The sequence below is a fragment of the Homo sapiens genome, chromosome 6, assembly GCF_000001405.40.
Source record: "Homo sapiens chromosome 6, GRCh38.p14 Primary Assembly".
Taxonomy (NCBI): Eukaryota; Metazoa; Chordata; class Mammalia; order Primates; family Hominidae; genus Homo; species Homo sapiens.
The window spans coordinates 21,828,611-21,843,902 of NC_000006.12; the positions used below are offsets into that span (position 1 = coordinate 21,828,611).

The 15,292-nt window shown below is 40.9% G+C and overlaps 1 long non-coding RNA gene across 1 annotated transcript in view; it reads left to right on the forward strand.

Annotated features, from left to right (window-relative positions):
* CASC15 (cancer susceptibility 15) overlaps nt 1-15,292 on the forward strand; it is a 529,408-nt gene that overhangs the window by 162,198 nt on the left and 351,918 nt on the right. The gene's annotated exons all lie outside the window — the stretch shown is intronic.

Consider the following 15,292-nt stretch of genomic DNA (forward strand, 5'->3'; position numbering starts at 1 on the left):
AAGGAATAGAACCTTTACCTGTTGTTCCCATGACAGTGTAACAATACACAGGATCAACATGTGACAAGAATCTTTTTATTCCTTGTAAACCAAGAAACGAAAAGTCATCTTATAAGCTGAGACATTTTAAGAGAACAGGCCCATGGTGTTTTCACCCCTTTGCTCTGTTGTTTTTTGGTTTTTGTTTCCAGGATGGGTAAAGAAACAGGTTATAGAGGTTTCCTGGAACACCTGTGTGAGGATCTCCCTGGATGCTGGGTGTTGGAGAGCTAACGCTGCACAGCCTGTTGGTGGGAAGAGTGAACAGACGGTTGGTTGCATGTTGATAGGAGCTGTGGACACTCTAGTAAATACAGAGCTCTCCTTAGGGGGAAAATGCTTTAGCTTTAGATGTTTTGACTTTAGATCTTATTGCTGGGGTTTCAGACTTTTAGAGAGGCACAGCTTGACTAAGATTAGCCAAAGCAGCATCTTAATTGAACGAGTGACAGCTATTGGGACAACCAGATATAATTAACTCTGATGTTTTAGAATTCCTTTTCCATTCTTTGATTGGTTCGCTTGCGTTTTGATCCTTAATGATGTGTGCTCAGTGAATTACACTAGAAGAGAAATGTCTGTGTTTATATTCAATGTTACCAGATTATTCTTTTTGTCGAGGGCCAGGGCATTTTCACCTCATGGAAAGATGGATTGGTAAGGAACAGGCTGTACTCTGCTAAGTATGTTTTCAGTAACAGCTAGTAACATCACAAATTCAGGGTCAGAATAAACTATCACAGACTAGACAAGTATTTGTGATGTTAGGAAATGGAGTAGAGTATGCAGATGGACTCATAAGATAATTAGTAAGTGAAAATGAACTTATATCAGTCTTGAAGCAAACTCACTACCTCCTTATCTGTGTGTAGTTTTTTGCATGTGATATTCCTGACTTGGGGAATAGTTGGAAATTTACCAGATTTTCATATTGTTACTTCCTTCTAATCTCTTTATTTCTATAAATTTGGAGATGATATAAAAATATGGCCTATTACTAAGAAATCAAAAGTTATGTATTGTGCCTTTCTAGTCACTTGCTCTTTGTGTCTTCTGGGTAAGTCATTTAAATTTCCTGAACCTCAGTTTTTCTCATCTGTAAAGGGGATATGCCTACTTAGTAAATTGCTATGGGATCAAATGAGATAAATGTATGTGGAAATGCCTTTGACACTCGGAAGTTCTTTATAAATAGAATTCTGTTATGCACAGAGAATGAAAGGGCAGTCTAGAGTAAGTGAAGAACATACCTGCTGCCTTTTCAAAGTCTAACCACTTACCCCCCAAATAGGTACTTGCAAAGGAATGTTTCCTCTTCCAGGCATGCACGCCTCATATCAGTCTTCCTTTACTCATCTTATCACTGCTTCTATTATTTTGGAACCTTAGGACATTAGGTGACAGACACTGTTTTATGGAGCATACTGAAGAACTGTTTGAAAAGTATCGGCTAGGCATGGTGGCTCACGCCTGTCATCCCAGCACTTTGGGAGGCTGAGGCGGGTGGATCACTTGAGGTCAGGAGTTTGAGACCAGCCTGGACAATGTGGTGAAACCCCATCTCTACTAAAAATACAAAAATTAGCTGGGTGTGGTGGCGGGCGCCTGTAATCCCAGCTACTTGTGGGGCTGAGCCAGGAGAATTGCTTGAGCCCAGGAAGTGGAGGTTGTGGTGATCCAAGATCGTGCCACTGCACTCCAACCTGGGCAAAAGAGCAAGACTCTGTCTCAAAAAGAAAAAGAAAAGAAAAGGAAAATTATTGTGGGCTCAAATAAGACTGGGTCAGTTAGTAGAAGCAAATAGAACTCCCCTCTCCTCCCTTCCCCTCCCCTCTCCTTTCTCTTTCCTTCCCTCTCCTTCCCCTGTCCTTTCTCTCTCCTTTCCCTCTCCTCTTCCTTCTTTTTTATTGAGACAGGGTCTTGCTCTGTTACCCAGGCTGTAGTGCAGGGATGTGATCTCTGCTCACTGCAGCCTTGACCTCCCAGGCTCAAGTGATCATCCCACCTCAGCCTCCTGAGTAGCTGGGCCCACAGGTGCATACCACCATGCCCAACTAATTTTTTAAAATTATTTGTAGAGACAGGATCTTGCCGTGTTGCTCAGACTGGTCTCAAACTCCTGGGCTTAAGCAGTCCTCCTGCCTTGGCCTCTCAAAGTGGTGGGATTATAGGTGTGAGCCACGGTGCCCACTCCCTTTTTTCTTTTATGTTTTTTCTGTTTTCCTCTTCCCCCACTTTTTTGAGCATATATACTAAAATTTTGCATATCAGCCCAGATTTTGAGATCAAATTGTGGGTACAAGAATTTGGATCCATTTTATCCAAAAAATGATATTTTACATTTTATTTTCAAGATAGATGAGCTGGTTTATAAACATGTATCTAATCTATTTTTTTTTTTTGGCCTTTGAAGCTTAAGAAGTTGAATAAATATCACTATGCTTATTCTGACCTTGCACCCATTATGTTTGTTGGAATCAGGTCCTCCTGCAGTTTTATTTTCATTTTTACACCTTTTTGATCATCACCACACTGCGAGTTAGTTTAGGACGGTGATTTGAAGCAATTGCTTCTGTTGAGTTTACTTGATGATCTTCCTTGCAGACACGTCCACTTACTTATCATGTAAAAATTATTTACCTATCATACATAACGACACAATCCTTGCCATAAGTGCATGCTAAGTAAGAGATTAGCATGCTGGCATTTAGAAAGGTTCCTCCCCCTTGTTCCTTTAAATGTATTTTGTTGTTCTGTGTGGCATCAAATTTATACTTGTCCTTTTCTTTTAAAGACAAGTTGTGGGAAGGAAAAGACAAGATCATAACATTAAGATTGAATGTGTTTCTCAATCTTCGCATCCTTAACTAGTTTCTTTGATGTATTCGAGTTTGCTATAAAATGTGAGGGGAGGAAGAAAGGCAACCAGTGATAATCAAAGGGGAAGAAAGATCAGGGTAGGACTCGGTGACATTTGAGGGTAAGTTTGGGAGCTGTTGCAAGAGTTATTGCTGCCTGTGACTATTTGGCCTGGCTACATGTCAGAGCCATTAACTTCAGAATAACAGAGGCTTTAAGAGAATGTACTCTTTTAGAAAACTCCTCATTAATTTAATTTATGGAAGGGGAGGGGAGTTGAGGAGCAGGGAGCGGGAAGCATGCGGTTTCACCGGTGCCTAGAGTTTAAGTTAAAAAAGAAACAAAAAAAGTACAAAAGCTGAGAATGCTGGATTATATGAAAGATTTAAAAAAATCCCCTGCTCTGTCTCTGGTGGCCTCAGAGCCTGTCCTGCTTGAGAAGGAATTGCCTCCTCAGTGATGGCTTTTGGAGCTCAACCCCTAACATGGATCCCAGCTGGGAAATCTTCAGCTCTAATTAAGCTTGGCTTGTTTTGATTCTCTTCCAGCCTTGTGGTTGAATAGCTTTGTGTATGCAGCCTTTTGCTAACAAGTTTTCCCACAGTCAGGAAAACCTTCGTCTTCAGTGTCAATCATTACCTGGAAGTCTTTGGCTGCCATCTCACAGGAAGTGGCTAACTTGTCTACATGACTCTCCCTCTTGCCCCCTGGCCTCCCCCAACAGATTTCACCATATTTTGGGAGTGGAAGGAATACAGCTATCGTTACTCATAGAAGAACGGGAAAAGACAGTGTTGTCTGGGTCCATGGAGCCACAAGAACACACCAGGATTGATCATTCCTCTTTCTCTTAATTGTCTTTTGCCTTGCCCTCCCCTGCTAGGATAGAAGAGGTAGGATAAGATGGATGGGGATGGAATTTATTAAATAAATTATTCAAAAATACTTGTTAAACCTATCTACTGTTTGCCATATGCTAAGACCCAAAGGAGGGAAGAGTGTCATCATGCCAAGTCATGGGATGGCAGTGATGGTATTGCTATGGTGCTGTGTATACAAGACCATGAGAGCAAGAGGAAGGAGCCCAGTGTGTGGCCTGGGAGGGTCAAGGGAAACTGGATTCAGGAAATGCCATTTTGGCTAAGAACTATAGAGTCAATACACATTTGCAAGGTTTTAAAGTGAAAATGGAGGCCAGGCATGGTGGCTCACGCTTGTAGTCCCAGCAATTTTTGAGGCCGAGGCGGGCGGATCACCTGAGGTCAGGAGTTCGAGACCAGCCTGGCCAACATAGTGAAACCCTGTCTCTACTAAAAATACAAAAATTAGCCGGACGTGGTGGCACGCATCTGTAATCCCAGCTACTCAGTAGGCTGAGGCAGGAGAATCACTTGGACCCAGGAGGTGGAGGTTGCAGTGAGCCGAGATTGCACCACTGCCTGGGCGACAGAGCGAGACTCTGTCTTAAAAAAACACACACACACAAAAAACTAAAATTGTTCATATGATTGGGCTGGATGCTAGATTGTTTGGGAGATGAAGTTGTACGCTCTGGGGGTGTTTTGGAAACTCATGCAATACTTTCTTTGGTCACAGTGATTGGAAGGCGCTTCTGGCATTGAATGAGCAAAGCCCAGGCAGCAGGTACGATGCAATGTACAAGATAGTTCTGCACATGAAGAATTGTCCTGTGTTTAACACGATTATTCTCAAGCGTCTCAACAGATATTTATGTAAAGTTAATTACAGAACCTGTCTATAAGAGTTTGAGCTAGAACCTAACTTTGTTTTACATATAGGTACAAAGTATTTGTTGCCAGGCTTAATGCACACTGAATTTTCCAGGAATAAAACTACTTTGTCAGTTGGGGAAAGATTGCGCATCGTTTTATGTGGACCTTTACTAAATACTGTTCACAATTTAGAGAAATTGTGTCAGCCATGGCCACACCACTTTGGAAATTTGAATGATCGATAAAACATACTGTGTGGATCTGTGTTTGGAGCTGTATTCACGGTGATTCCATGCACACAGCTACTTCATGGTGTCTTCTGTTGGCAGTTTTGTGCCAATATGTAAAAACAAAAGTTATGTTATTATCAATTCCATTCCCCCCTTTTTCTTCTATACTTAAGATATTATACTGATTTACTTTTAAAAATTATTACGCAGGTAGGTTATATACTACTTACGATTTTTATTTCAAGACAGAAAAGTGTGTTATAAAAAGGGACTTGGGATTGATAGGCTTGAAAACCCCTGCCTAGATCTCGAAGTACCTTGTATACTATTAAAAGGAGCTATGTATTTTATAGTCCTTGAAGTATACCCTTCAAACTATCTACATAAGAGTCACCTGGTGAGCATTTTCAAACTTCAGGGTCCTGGGCCCATTTTAGAACTACTGAATTCCTTGTGGGAGACTTGAATCTATCTTATGTCACCCTCTCCCCAACCTACACGTGACTTTTTTTTTTTTCTTTCTTTCTTTTTTTTTTTTTTGAGACGGAGTCTTGCTCTGTTGCCCAGGCTGGAGTGCAGTTGCATGATCTCGGCTCACTACAGCCTCTGCCTCCCGGGTCAAGCAATTCTCCTGCCTCAGCCTCCCAAGTAGCTGGGATTACAGGTGCCCGCCACTACGCCCAGCTAATTTTTTGTATTTTTAGTAGAGAGGGGGTTTCACCATGTTGGCTAGGCAGGTCTCAAACTCATGACCTCAGGTGATCTGCCCACCTCGGCCTCCCAAAGTGCTGGGATTACAGGTGTGAGCCACCATGCCTGGCCCCCAACCTACACAGGACTCTTATCCCTCTAACATTTGAGAATGCACTGCTATAGAATTTCTCTAAATTTAAGAATTTAGAGAAATGGAGGGATATAAACAGGTTTTAAGGTTAAAAATAATACTCTGGGTTGGGCATGGTGACTTACACTTGTAATCCCAGCACTTTGGGAGGCCAGGACAGGTAGATCACCTGAGGTCAGGAGTTCAAGACCAGCCTGGCCAACATAGTGAAACCCCGTCTCTACTAAAAATACAAAGATTAGCCAGGTGTGGTGGTGCGCATCCATAATCCCAGCTACTTGGGAGGCTGAGGCAGGAGAATTGCTGGAACCTGGGAGGCAGAAATTGCAGTGAGCCCAGATCGATCCACTGCACTCCAGCCTGGGTGACATAGTGAGACCCTGTATCAAAAAAACAAACAAACCCCAAAAAACAAAACTCTAATAGGACTTCAATGGTAGATGGAAGGAGCTTCAGACTCACAGTTGAGAACCGGTGAAGTTTCTATTGTAATGTTCTAGTTGAAAAATTTTGATGAAATACAGCATGGTATGTGGTAGACATGGGTGAGAGAAGTTATTATGAAGTAAAATGATACAATGTAGTGATAGCATTGGCAGAATAAAAGAGAATAAAGCTAGATTAAAGATAACAAAGGATGGTTTTTGCTAGGTAAATGGTGTTATCATTTATCAAGTTGGGGATTTCATTGGGGTGGGTGGCTAGTCTGTGGTTTCTGGTTTGGGCATGCTGACATTTAGTTTCCTGTCATACCTGTCAGTGGAGATTGGGTATATACAGATATGATTTAGTTTAGGAGAACCATCTCCTAGAGATAAGCATTAGGGAATCATTCACATATGGATGGTAGTTGAAGCCATTCAAATGGTAGAGATTTTGCCCAGGGAGTACACAGAATGTCCACATACAGGATGATATATATGTGGGCTTCTTCTCCTTGTTTCTAAGTGAATTTTACTCCCATAATATTCAGGACTCCTTTTAGATATGATAGTTTTAATTATTGAAGATAATGTAGTTCCGTTGTAGCTCCATATCTTTGCTGAATAAGCTTAATTGGGATGTGGTGTGGGAAACCCATACACTTTCAGACATATAGCATGCCACTTGTTTTTTTTTGTTTGGAGACAGAGTCTTGCTCAGTCGCTCAGGCTGGAGTGCAGTGGCATGATCTTGGCTCACTGCAGCCTCCACCTCCAGGGTTCAAGCTATTCTCCCTGTCTCAGCCTCCTGAGTAGCTGGGATTACAGGCGTCCACCACCACCCGGCTAATTTTTGTATTTTTTTAGTAGAGACGGGGTTTCACCATGTTGGCCAGGCTGGTCTTGAACTCCTGACCTCAGGTGATCTGCCCACCTTGACCTCTCAAGGTGTTGGAATTACAGTTGTGAGCCATGGCACCTGGCCAACATCCCTCTTGTTGTTTAGTCCAGCCTCGGGACAAAGGATGTGCCTGGAAAAGACTAATGATATAGTTTATGATACGGTTAAAAAAAAAGGTTATAGTGAAAACAGCTGCCAGTCTACAAAATTAGTGTGGTTTATAGAACTTGCATCTTACAGATCTATTGATTATTAAGACCCCAAACCAATTGGTTTTTACTTGCCTCTGCATTTTTTTCCTTAAAGAATACACATACCCTAGTCTTTGAAGTGTATAATTTATTTGGGTTGGGGTATCTTCTCTAAGGAGATTCTAGCTTCGTTGTCTGATAGTCATTTTCCGTGCAGTTCCTTCCTTTCCAGGCATTCACATTTAAATTGACAAAGACAGGTAAAATTTAACACAAATAGACTGATGTCTTTGTTTAGCCATTGACCTCTGAGTGTCAAATATCACAGGTTCTTTCTGTTTTTGTCTTTCTCTTTCTTTCATTATGACAAGTGGCACTATCAAGTTTTTCCTTACATGAACGCTTCCTATTTCTCTCCTTCCTCTGATAATTTAGAAACAAGTTTGGCAAGTGCTTTTTCGAACTTTCCGTCGTCAATACTGAATGCCTTTAGTTAGAAGTCTATGATTCCAGTCTTCCCTATGGTTTTCACTCTTGGCGATTTCACTTTAATGGTTTAAAATCACAAAGTTCTGGGCTCTGGGGACTGACTTCATAGGGGAGAGTCTACGTATTTAAAAGCATTTTTGCAGTGCCAGCTGTGGCTAATGTTGTGTCAGCATTTCCATCATCATAATTCCCAACATTCGAGGGTTTATAACGAGACTGTTAAATTTCACCACAAAATGAAGCTTGGTATGCAAGAATTGAGCCTGAAGCAAACTTTTTCATTTTAAAAAAAATGTAGTTTGTCTATAAAGCCACTAATAAAGAAGCAAAGCTAGTGATTATTGTTGTTACACTACCCAAACTGCTTGGTTTACTTAATACTTCAGGGACATTAGACTGTAATGTAAGGCAATCACTCCAGGAGTCTGCAGAAAAAACAGAGTATGAATGTGGGTGATATTTAATTTCGGAGGGTGTCTGAACATTAGAAAACATTTTCTTCTCAATTTTAGGATAATTTTCTAGCCTTGTTTATCTAAATGTCCTGTGGGGAAGCAAAAATGTTTGGGGCCCATGATAATGAACTCAGTATAAATATGCAAATGCTTAAAACCTCAAGCAGGTCCCTTTCCTCCAACCTCAGAGCAAGAGAAATGACAGGCATGTCGATGAGGGTGCAGTACAGCATGGGACTGGCCATTGAGCTGCTACAATCTTCATTTAAAAATGTTCTTTCATTCCCATGAAATGTTGATCCTTAAGGACCACTGTAGGGAGAGCAGATACCTAGAGAATTTTTTTTTCCTTGCGGTAATGATGATTGATTTCTGCAGATACCTCCCCATTCTCTGGCTCCGACCTCCCTTGTGACTGGCAGGAAGCATATGCAAGATGCTAATTTGAGTTAAGCACAAAATCTATGGCCTTGCAACAGAAACAGCATGATTCACATATGGATGAACCCATGGCTCTGGCCTCTTTAGTGCTCCATACTTAAATCACCCAAATGACTTAGCCCGCAGGTTAATGGAATGAAAGCTAAAGATAACCTTGTGAGGGTCAAGTCGGCCAGCCTTGTCTTCCCTTTACAGTGTTCAGAGATATTCATTCTATTGTTCTTCCTCTTTTTACCTCATATTGGCTCTTTTAGCCATATTCTCTCCATTTTCATCACCTCTTCTGGGTGTATTTTCTTTTTCTTTCTTTTTTTTTTTCTTTTTTTTGAGATGGGGTCTCACTCTGTCACCCAGGCTGGAGTGCAGTGGTGTGATATCAGTTCACGGCAGCCTACGCCTCCAGGACTCAAGTAATCCTCCCACTTCAGCGTCCCGACTAGCTGAGACCACCACAGGTGAGCGCCACCACTGCCGGCTAATTTTTTGTATTTTGGTAGAGAGGGTTTTACCATGTTGCCCACCCTGGTCTTGAACTCCTGAGCTCAAGTGATCTGCCCACCTCGGCCTCCCAAAGTGCTGGGATTACAGGCGTGTGCCGCCGCGCCTAGCCTTCTGGGTGTATTTTCTTCTTTCCCTTCTTCCTTACTCCAAATAGTCCAGACTGAGGAACTGTTTGTAGAGAGTCTGCTAGGTACTAAGTGAAAAGCTCGGCTTTCACATACATGCACTACAACATTTGAGCGGATGGGTGCAGATTGATAGATAATGAAGTAATATATAATTTGTATATACATATGTGTGTGCATACATACACATATATAATATATATACCTGTATGTATATACATTTATAATCTGACTGCAGACACCCTCAGCAACTCAGTAACAAACAGTTATGCTGTTTAGGTTACAGAGTTGCAAAAAACTGTAATGAGTTAGAAAAAGGTGTTCCTTTTGGCCTCAGGGTGTGTGGTTTGGCAAGCAGGTGAGGGCTGGCTGTGTGTCCCTACTCCCGCCCTGGGTTGGGCATGATTGTGTAGGGGACATCTTGCACAGCCTTATGAGCAGCCCTGAGAATGTCATTGATTGGCATTAATATTTCTTTCAATGTGTCAGTTTTTCTTTTGTTATTCAAAACCGTCACAAATACTTAATGGATAATGAAGTATTGTTAATATAATGTAAGCTTCTTTTATTTTATCTTAATTTACTTTATTTTTGAGACAAGGTCTCTGTTGTCCAGGCTGGAATGTAGTGGTGCCATCATAGCTCACTGCAGCCTCCAACTCCTGGGCTCAAGTGTTCCTCCTGCCTCAGCCTCCTGAGTAGATGGGACTACAGGTGTGCATCACCATGCCTAGCTAATTATTTATTTATTTTTAATTTTTTATAGAGACAGGGTCTTGCTATGTTGCCCAGGTGGATCTAGAGCTCTTGGCCTTAAGCGATCCTCCTACCTTGGCCTCCCAAAGTGCTGGAATTACAGGCATAAACCAAAGCACCTAGCTTCTTTCACTTTATACTTGAGAATGTATTAATATCTGAATTTTTAGACTATTAGAAGAGGCAAATGGTTAGAGGAATTGTTTGTGCAGACAACTGGCTGTTCGTATTACAGTGTGATGATTTGTGGGCAAACATTAGCCAGGCCTCTGAGTGTAACCTAGGATTATTTTTCTCCCCCTCAGTAATTCGGAAGATAACTTTCAAACACAGATATCTTTTTGGTACTGAACAATTAAGTTGTATGAATGCCATGACTAGGTCTTTTAGATTCCTACAGTTTGATGGTTGTTAGTTGAGATTATATGCGTGGATAAATAAGTATTTTAGTAATTATTTTATGTTTTTATGAAATTCACATCCTAGGCTGGGCGCTGTGGCTCAGGCTTGTAATCCCAGCACTTTGGGAGGCCGAGGTGAGTGGATCACCTGAGTTTAGGAGTTTGAGACCAGCCTGGCCAACATGGTGAAACGCCTTCTCTATTAAAAACACAAAAATTAGCCAGGTGTGGTGGCATGCACTTGTAATCCCAGCTACTTGGGAGGCTGAGAGAGGAGAATCGCTTGAACCCGGGAGGCGGAGGTTGCAGTGAGCAAGATCACACCATTGCACTCCAGCCTGGGTGACAAGAGTGAAACTCTGTCTCCAAAAAAAAAAGAAAAAAAAAAAGAAAGAAATTAATATCCTAGTCTTTTCTCCAAATTTAGTGGCTTAACTATAATTAGAGAAAATGTTAGAACCAAAGAGCCCAGATAACAGGGAAACCAGGCTGGCTTTAGGACATTAAATTTATGGACCACTGTATGCATGTTAGGAAATCAGTGGGCTTTTTAACCTGCCTTCACCATGCTGGTCAAAGGACTCACTTTTTTTTTTTTAACCATTTTATTGAGAAAAAAATGTTTTATGTATTTCATGTAGAACTTGATGAATTCGGGGAGAAGTGTATAGCCTTGACAATCAAGGCATAAACTTAACACTTTCAGAAGTTTCCTCTGCTGCTTTTATTGATTTAGTTTTAAATTTCTTTTTGTTTTCTTTTTTTTTTTGAGATGGAGTCTTGCTATGTCACGCAGGCTGGAGTGCAATGGCACGATCTTGGCTCACTACAATTATTTTTAAATTTCTAAAATTTTTTTTACTTTTGTGGTAAGAACATTTAACGTAAGTTCTATTTTCTTAGCAAAATGTTAGGTATAATAAAACATTATTGTTAACTAGAGGCCCTCTTTTGTCCAGAATTTATTCATCTTGCATATAAACACTTTGTACCTTTTGAATCACTCCTCCCCATTTCTCCCTTCTCCAGCAACTATTCTGGAAACCACCTTTCCACTCTTTGGTTCTACCACTTTGAATATTTCAGATTCCTTATAAAAGTGGGATCATGCAATATTTGTGCTTCTGTGTCTGGCTTGTTTCACTCAGCTTAATGTCTTCTAGGTCCATCCATGTTGTTGCAAATGGCAGGCTATCCTTCTTTTCCAGGGTTGAATAATATTCCATTCAAACTCATTTATTTCTGTCTTCCTCCTGTGTGCCAAAAACATAATCCATGATGCTGACATAGCCATGTCCTCCTTTAATCTCAGCCATAATTGATGTTGTAGACGTTCTCCGCTGACACATACGGGTAACGGACTACAAGAGAGAGAATATGAATCTGCTGCTGCCATTATGAGACCTTATTTTTACATGGAAACCAAATCATATTGAGTGAGATGCAAACTGCTTAGATGAAATGTTTATAAGAACCAATTTAGGTCATTATAAACAGAATGAATAACTTGATTATCTCGAAGCATATTGTTTCAGAATAAGAAGTTAACTCTCGAGTTCTGTGTCTTTTTCCTTTGAAAATGATAAAGTAGTTCCTCAGCTCTGTGATTCACTTCCTGTTTTGGGGGACAGGATGTTGGATAAATGGTAAGGCCCAGACATGTCTACTCTTCTAGCTTTGCAAATGGGTCAAATTTCCCTTGTTTATTCAAGGAACCAGGGATAAAGTTGCCTCTTGTCAAACTAGAGGAAACTTCTTAGAACAGAAGGCCATGCTTTAGGGATGTTTTAATCCATATATTCTTTTTATTCTGTGGCCTTGGCTTTACTCTGTTTCTATAATTTTCCCTTTTGGTTTGTCTTCTCTATGTCTTCTTTCTGTAATGACGAGTAGCAGTTGATCATATGTTGTCTATAAGAAGATGAATGATTCACAGTAACTATGCATCTCCCCTATTCCCTTCCTAACAAAATTTTGGAGGCATGCAAAAATGAGTCTTTTAAATGAGATTTAAAACTTTTCAGGCCGGGTGTGGTGGCTTATGCCTGTGATCCCATTACTTTGGGAAGCCGAGGCGGGTGGATCACTTGAGGTCAGGAGTTTGAGACCAGCCTGGCCAACGTGGTGAAACCCCGTCTCCACTAAAAATACAAAAAGTAGCCAAGCGTGGTGGCACATGCCTGTAGTTCCAGCTACTCAGGAGGCTGAGGCAGGAGAATCACTTGAACCTGGGAGGCAGAGGTTTCAGTGAGCCACTGCACTCTAGCCTGGTGAAAGAGAGAGACTCCATCTCAAACAAAACAAAACAAATTTTCTTTCCTAAAGTCTCAAAGCTTTATTCGTTTCCATTGTACATTTCAAATGAACAATGAAACTAATACTTGTATTTGATTTGACTATTGATTTGTCACAAATCCTACTCTTTTCTTGATGGTGAGGATTATAGGAAATTTTACTTGGGCTGGGGGCAGGTAAAGAAAGACAGTTGTTTTTTATGATATTGTTCTAATATGCATATTTCCATATGCATACTTTTATTTTTTTCTTTTCTTTTCTTTTCTTTTTTTGAGATGGAACCTTGCTCTGTTGCCCAGACTGGAATGCAGTGGTGTAATCTCGGCTCACTGCAATCTCCGACTCTTAGGTTCAAGTTTTTCTCCTGCCTCAGCCTCCTGAGTAGCTGGGATTACAGGTGTGCACCACCATGCCCAGCTAATTTTTGTATTTTTAGTAGAGACGGGGTTTCACCATGTTGGCCAGGTTGGTCGCGAACTCTTAACCTCAAGTGATCAGCCCGCCTCAACCTTTCAAAGTGCTGAGATTACAAGCGTGAGCCACCACGCCTGGCCATACTTTCCTTTCCTAAATTTTCCTTCATGAATTTCAGAGGTATACAGGATTCTTCTGCATTCTTCACAAGAGATTACATGAAAAGAAAACATAACATTGGATTGATCTGAATGAAAAAACAAAAGCCTGAGATGAAAAAGAGTAAAAAAGACACTATGCAAGATAGCTTACATACCAACTCCTTGGTATTACAGGTTTAGCATCCCAAAGTGGAAAATCTAAAATGTAAAATGCTTCCAAAATCCAAAACTTTTTGAGCCCTGACGTGATGCTCAAAGGAAATGCTCATGGGAGCGTTGGTTTTTGTTTGTTTGTTTGTTTGTTTTTTTGAGATGGAATTTTACTCTTATCGCCCAGGCTGGGTTGCAATGGCATGATCTTGGCTCACTGCAACCTCTGTCTCCTGGGTTCAAGTGATTCTCCTGCCTCAGCCTCCTGAGTAGCTGAGATTACAGGTTCCCGCCACCACGCCTGGCTAAATTTTTTTGTTTTTTTAGTAGATATGGGGTTTTGCCATGTTGGCCAGGCTGGTCTCGACCTCCGGACCTCAGGTGATCCACCCGCCTCGGCCTCCCAAAGTGGTGGGAGGCCACTGCACCCTGCCTCGTGGGAGCATTTTGGATTTCAAATTTTCTGACTTGGGATCCTCATCTAGTAAATATATAATGCAAATATCCCCAAATCTGAAAAAATCCAAAATCTGAAACACTTCTAGTCCCAAGCATTTCAGATAAGGGATACTCAACCTGTGTTGAAGAAAAAGAGAATCCATAATAAAGATGGCAAAGGAAGCAGATCCTATGATACCTAAACAGAGACAATGAGAGATTTCTGTACTTTTTCTAAATAATAGAATCTTAGCCCTGATTCACGTCTACTGGGTCCAATCACTAGGCAGTTAGTCTCCAAATAGCCTTGTGATTTATGATATAGTCTAAGTGGAATCAAAATTGGAGCCTGGATTCTCCATGCCATTTCTGACTTTTCTGAGTGTGGGTGTGTTGTAAATATGTAGGTTGGATGGGAGTTGAAGATCCTAAGAAATGTAAACAACAGCCCTGTCTTTGAAGAACTGGAGGAAGGCTCAGGGTTATGAGGATGGAACATGGAGTAAGGGGTGTGATTATAATGAGTGAAAGACATCTCTTTGATGGATGGTATTCCACCCAGTGGGTCTCACACCTGGCCATACCTCATCACACCTTTGTTTGCACATACCTGACATCATTGGCAAATCTAGGTCTCTGGATGCTTCCCAACACTGGCACCCTGAGCTGAAGCTAATTCTGTCACCATGATTAGCTGTGTACAGATAACTTATCTATGACAATTAAAAAAAAATCCATGATTGGCTTTTTGCTGTTGCCAGCCAGCCACTGTCTGCAGTTGTTACTTGGCTTGTGTGGAGGGAATATAAAACTTAAAATTATTCTAAAGTAAACTTAATTAGGGAGGGAAATTTGTAGCCAACTTACCACCCTCATATAATGCAACCAAAACCAAATGTAAATGATTTTTGGATGATCCAAATTAGTTCTCCCTTCTGCCAGCTCACATGGAGCACCAAGATTAGAGAGTAATAAGAAGGCCTTCTAATAGGTAGGTTTTGGAACGGATTTCATTTGCATTAGGAAAGAGCATTGGGAAGAGTGCCCTTTAGAAACACTTGCCCACATATTTATTTTTGGATTTATGATACCAGCATACTGCATTTTAATTTGTTCCTTTTTGTTGAGTGCTCAGATTTTTATGTCTGGCTTTTTATTTTGTCTTGTGAATTTGTATAACTTTCAAAATGACAACACCCATTGCTTAGCATAAGGGACAAAAGAAACTCTTTTTTTTTTTCCTCCCCTCTTGTGCCTTTTTAAAATAAGCTATCTAACAAAGACACAATTTTTTCCCTCCCTCTCCTAAGCCCCAGATGACCTAAGGATTTAGAGGTCTGAGGTCAGATTTCTTTCTTCTTTGCTTCACAGACAACTGTCTCTTCTTTATATTGTGATCTTTCTGATTTGTATAGGGACTCGGCAGGTAGAAGAATGTGTGTGTGTG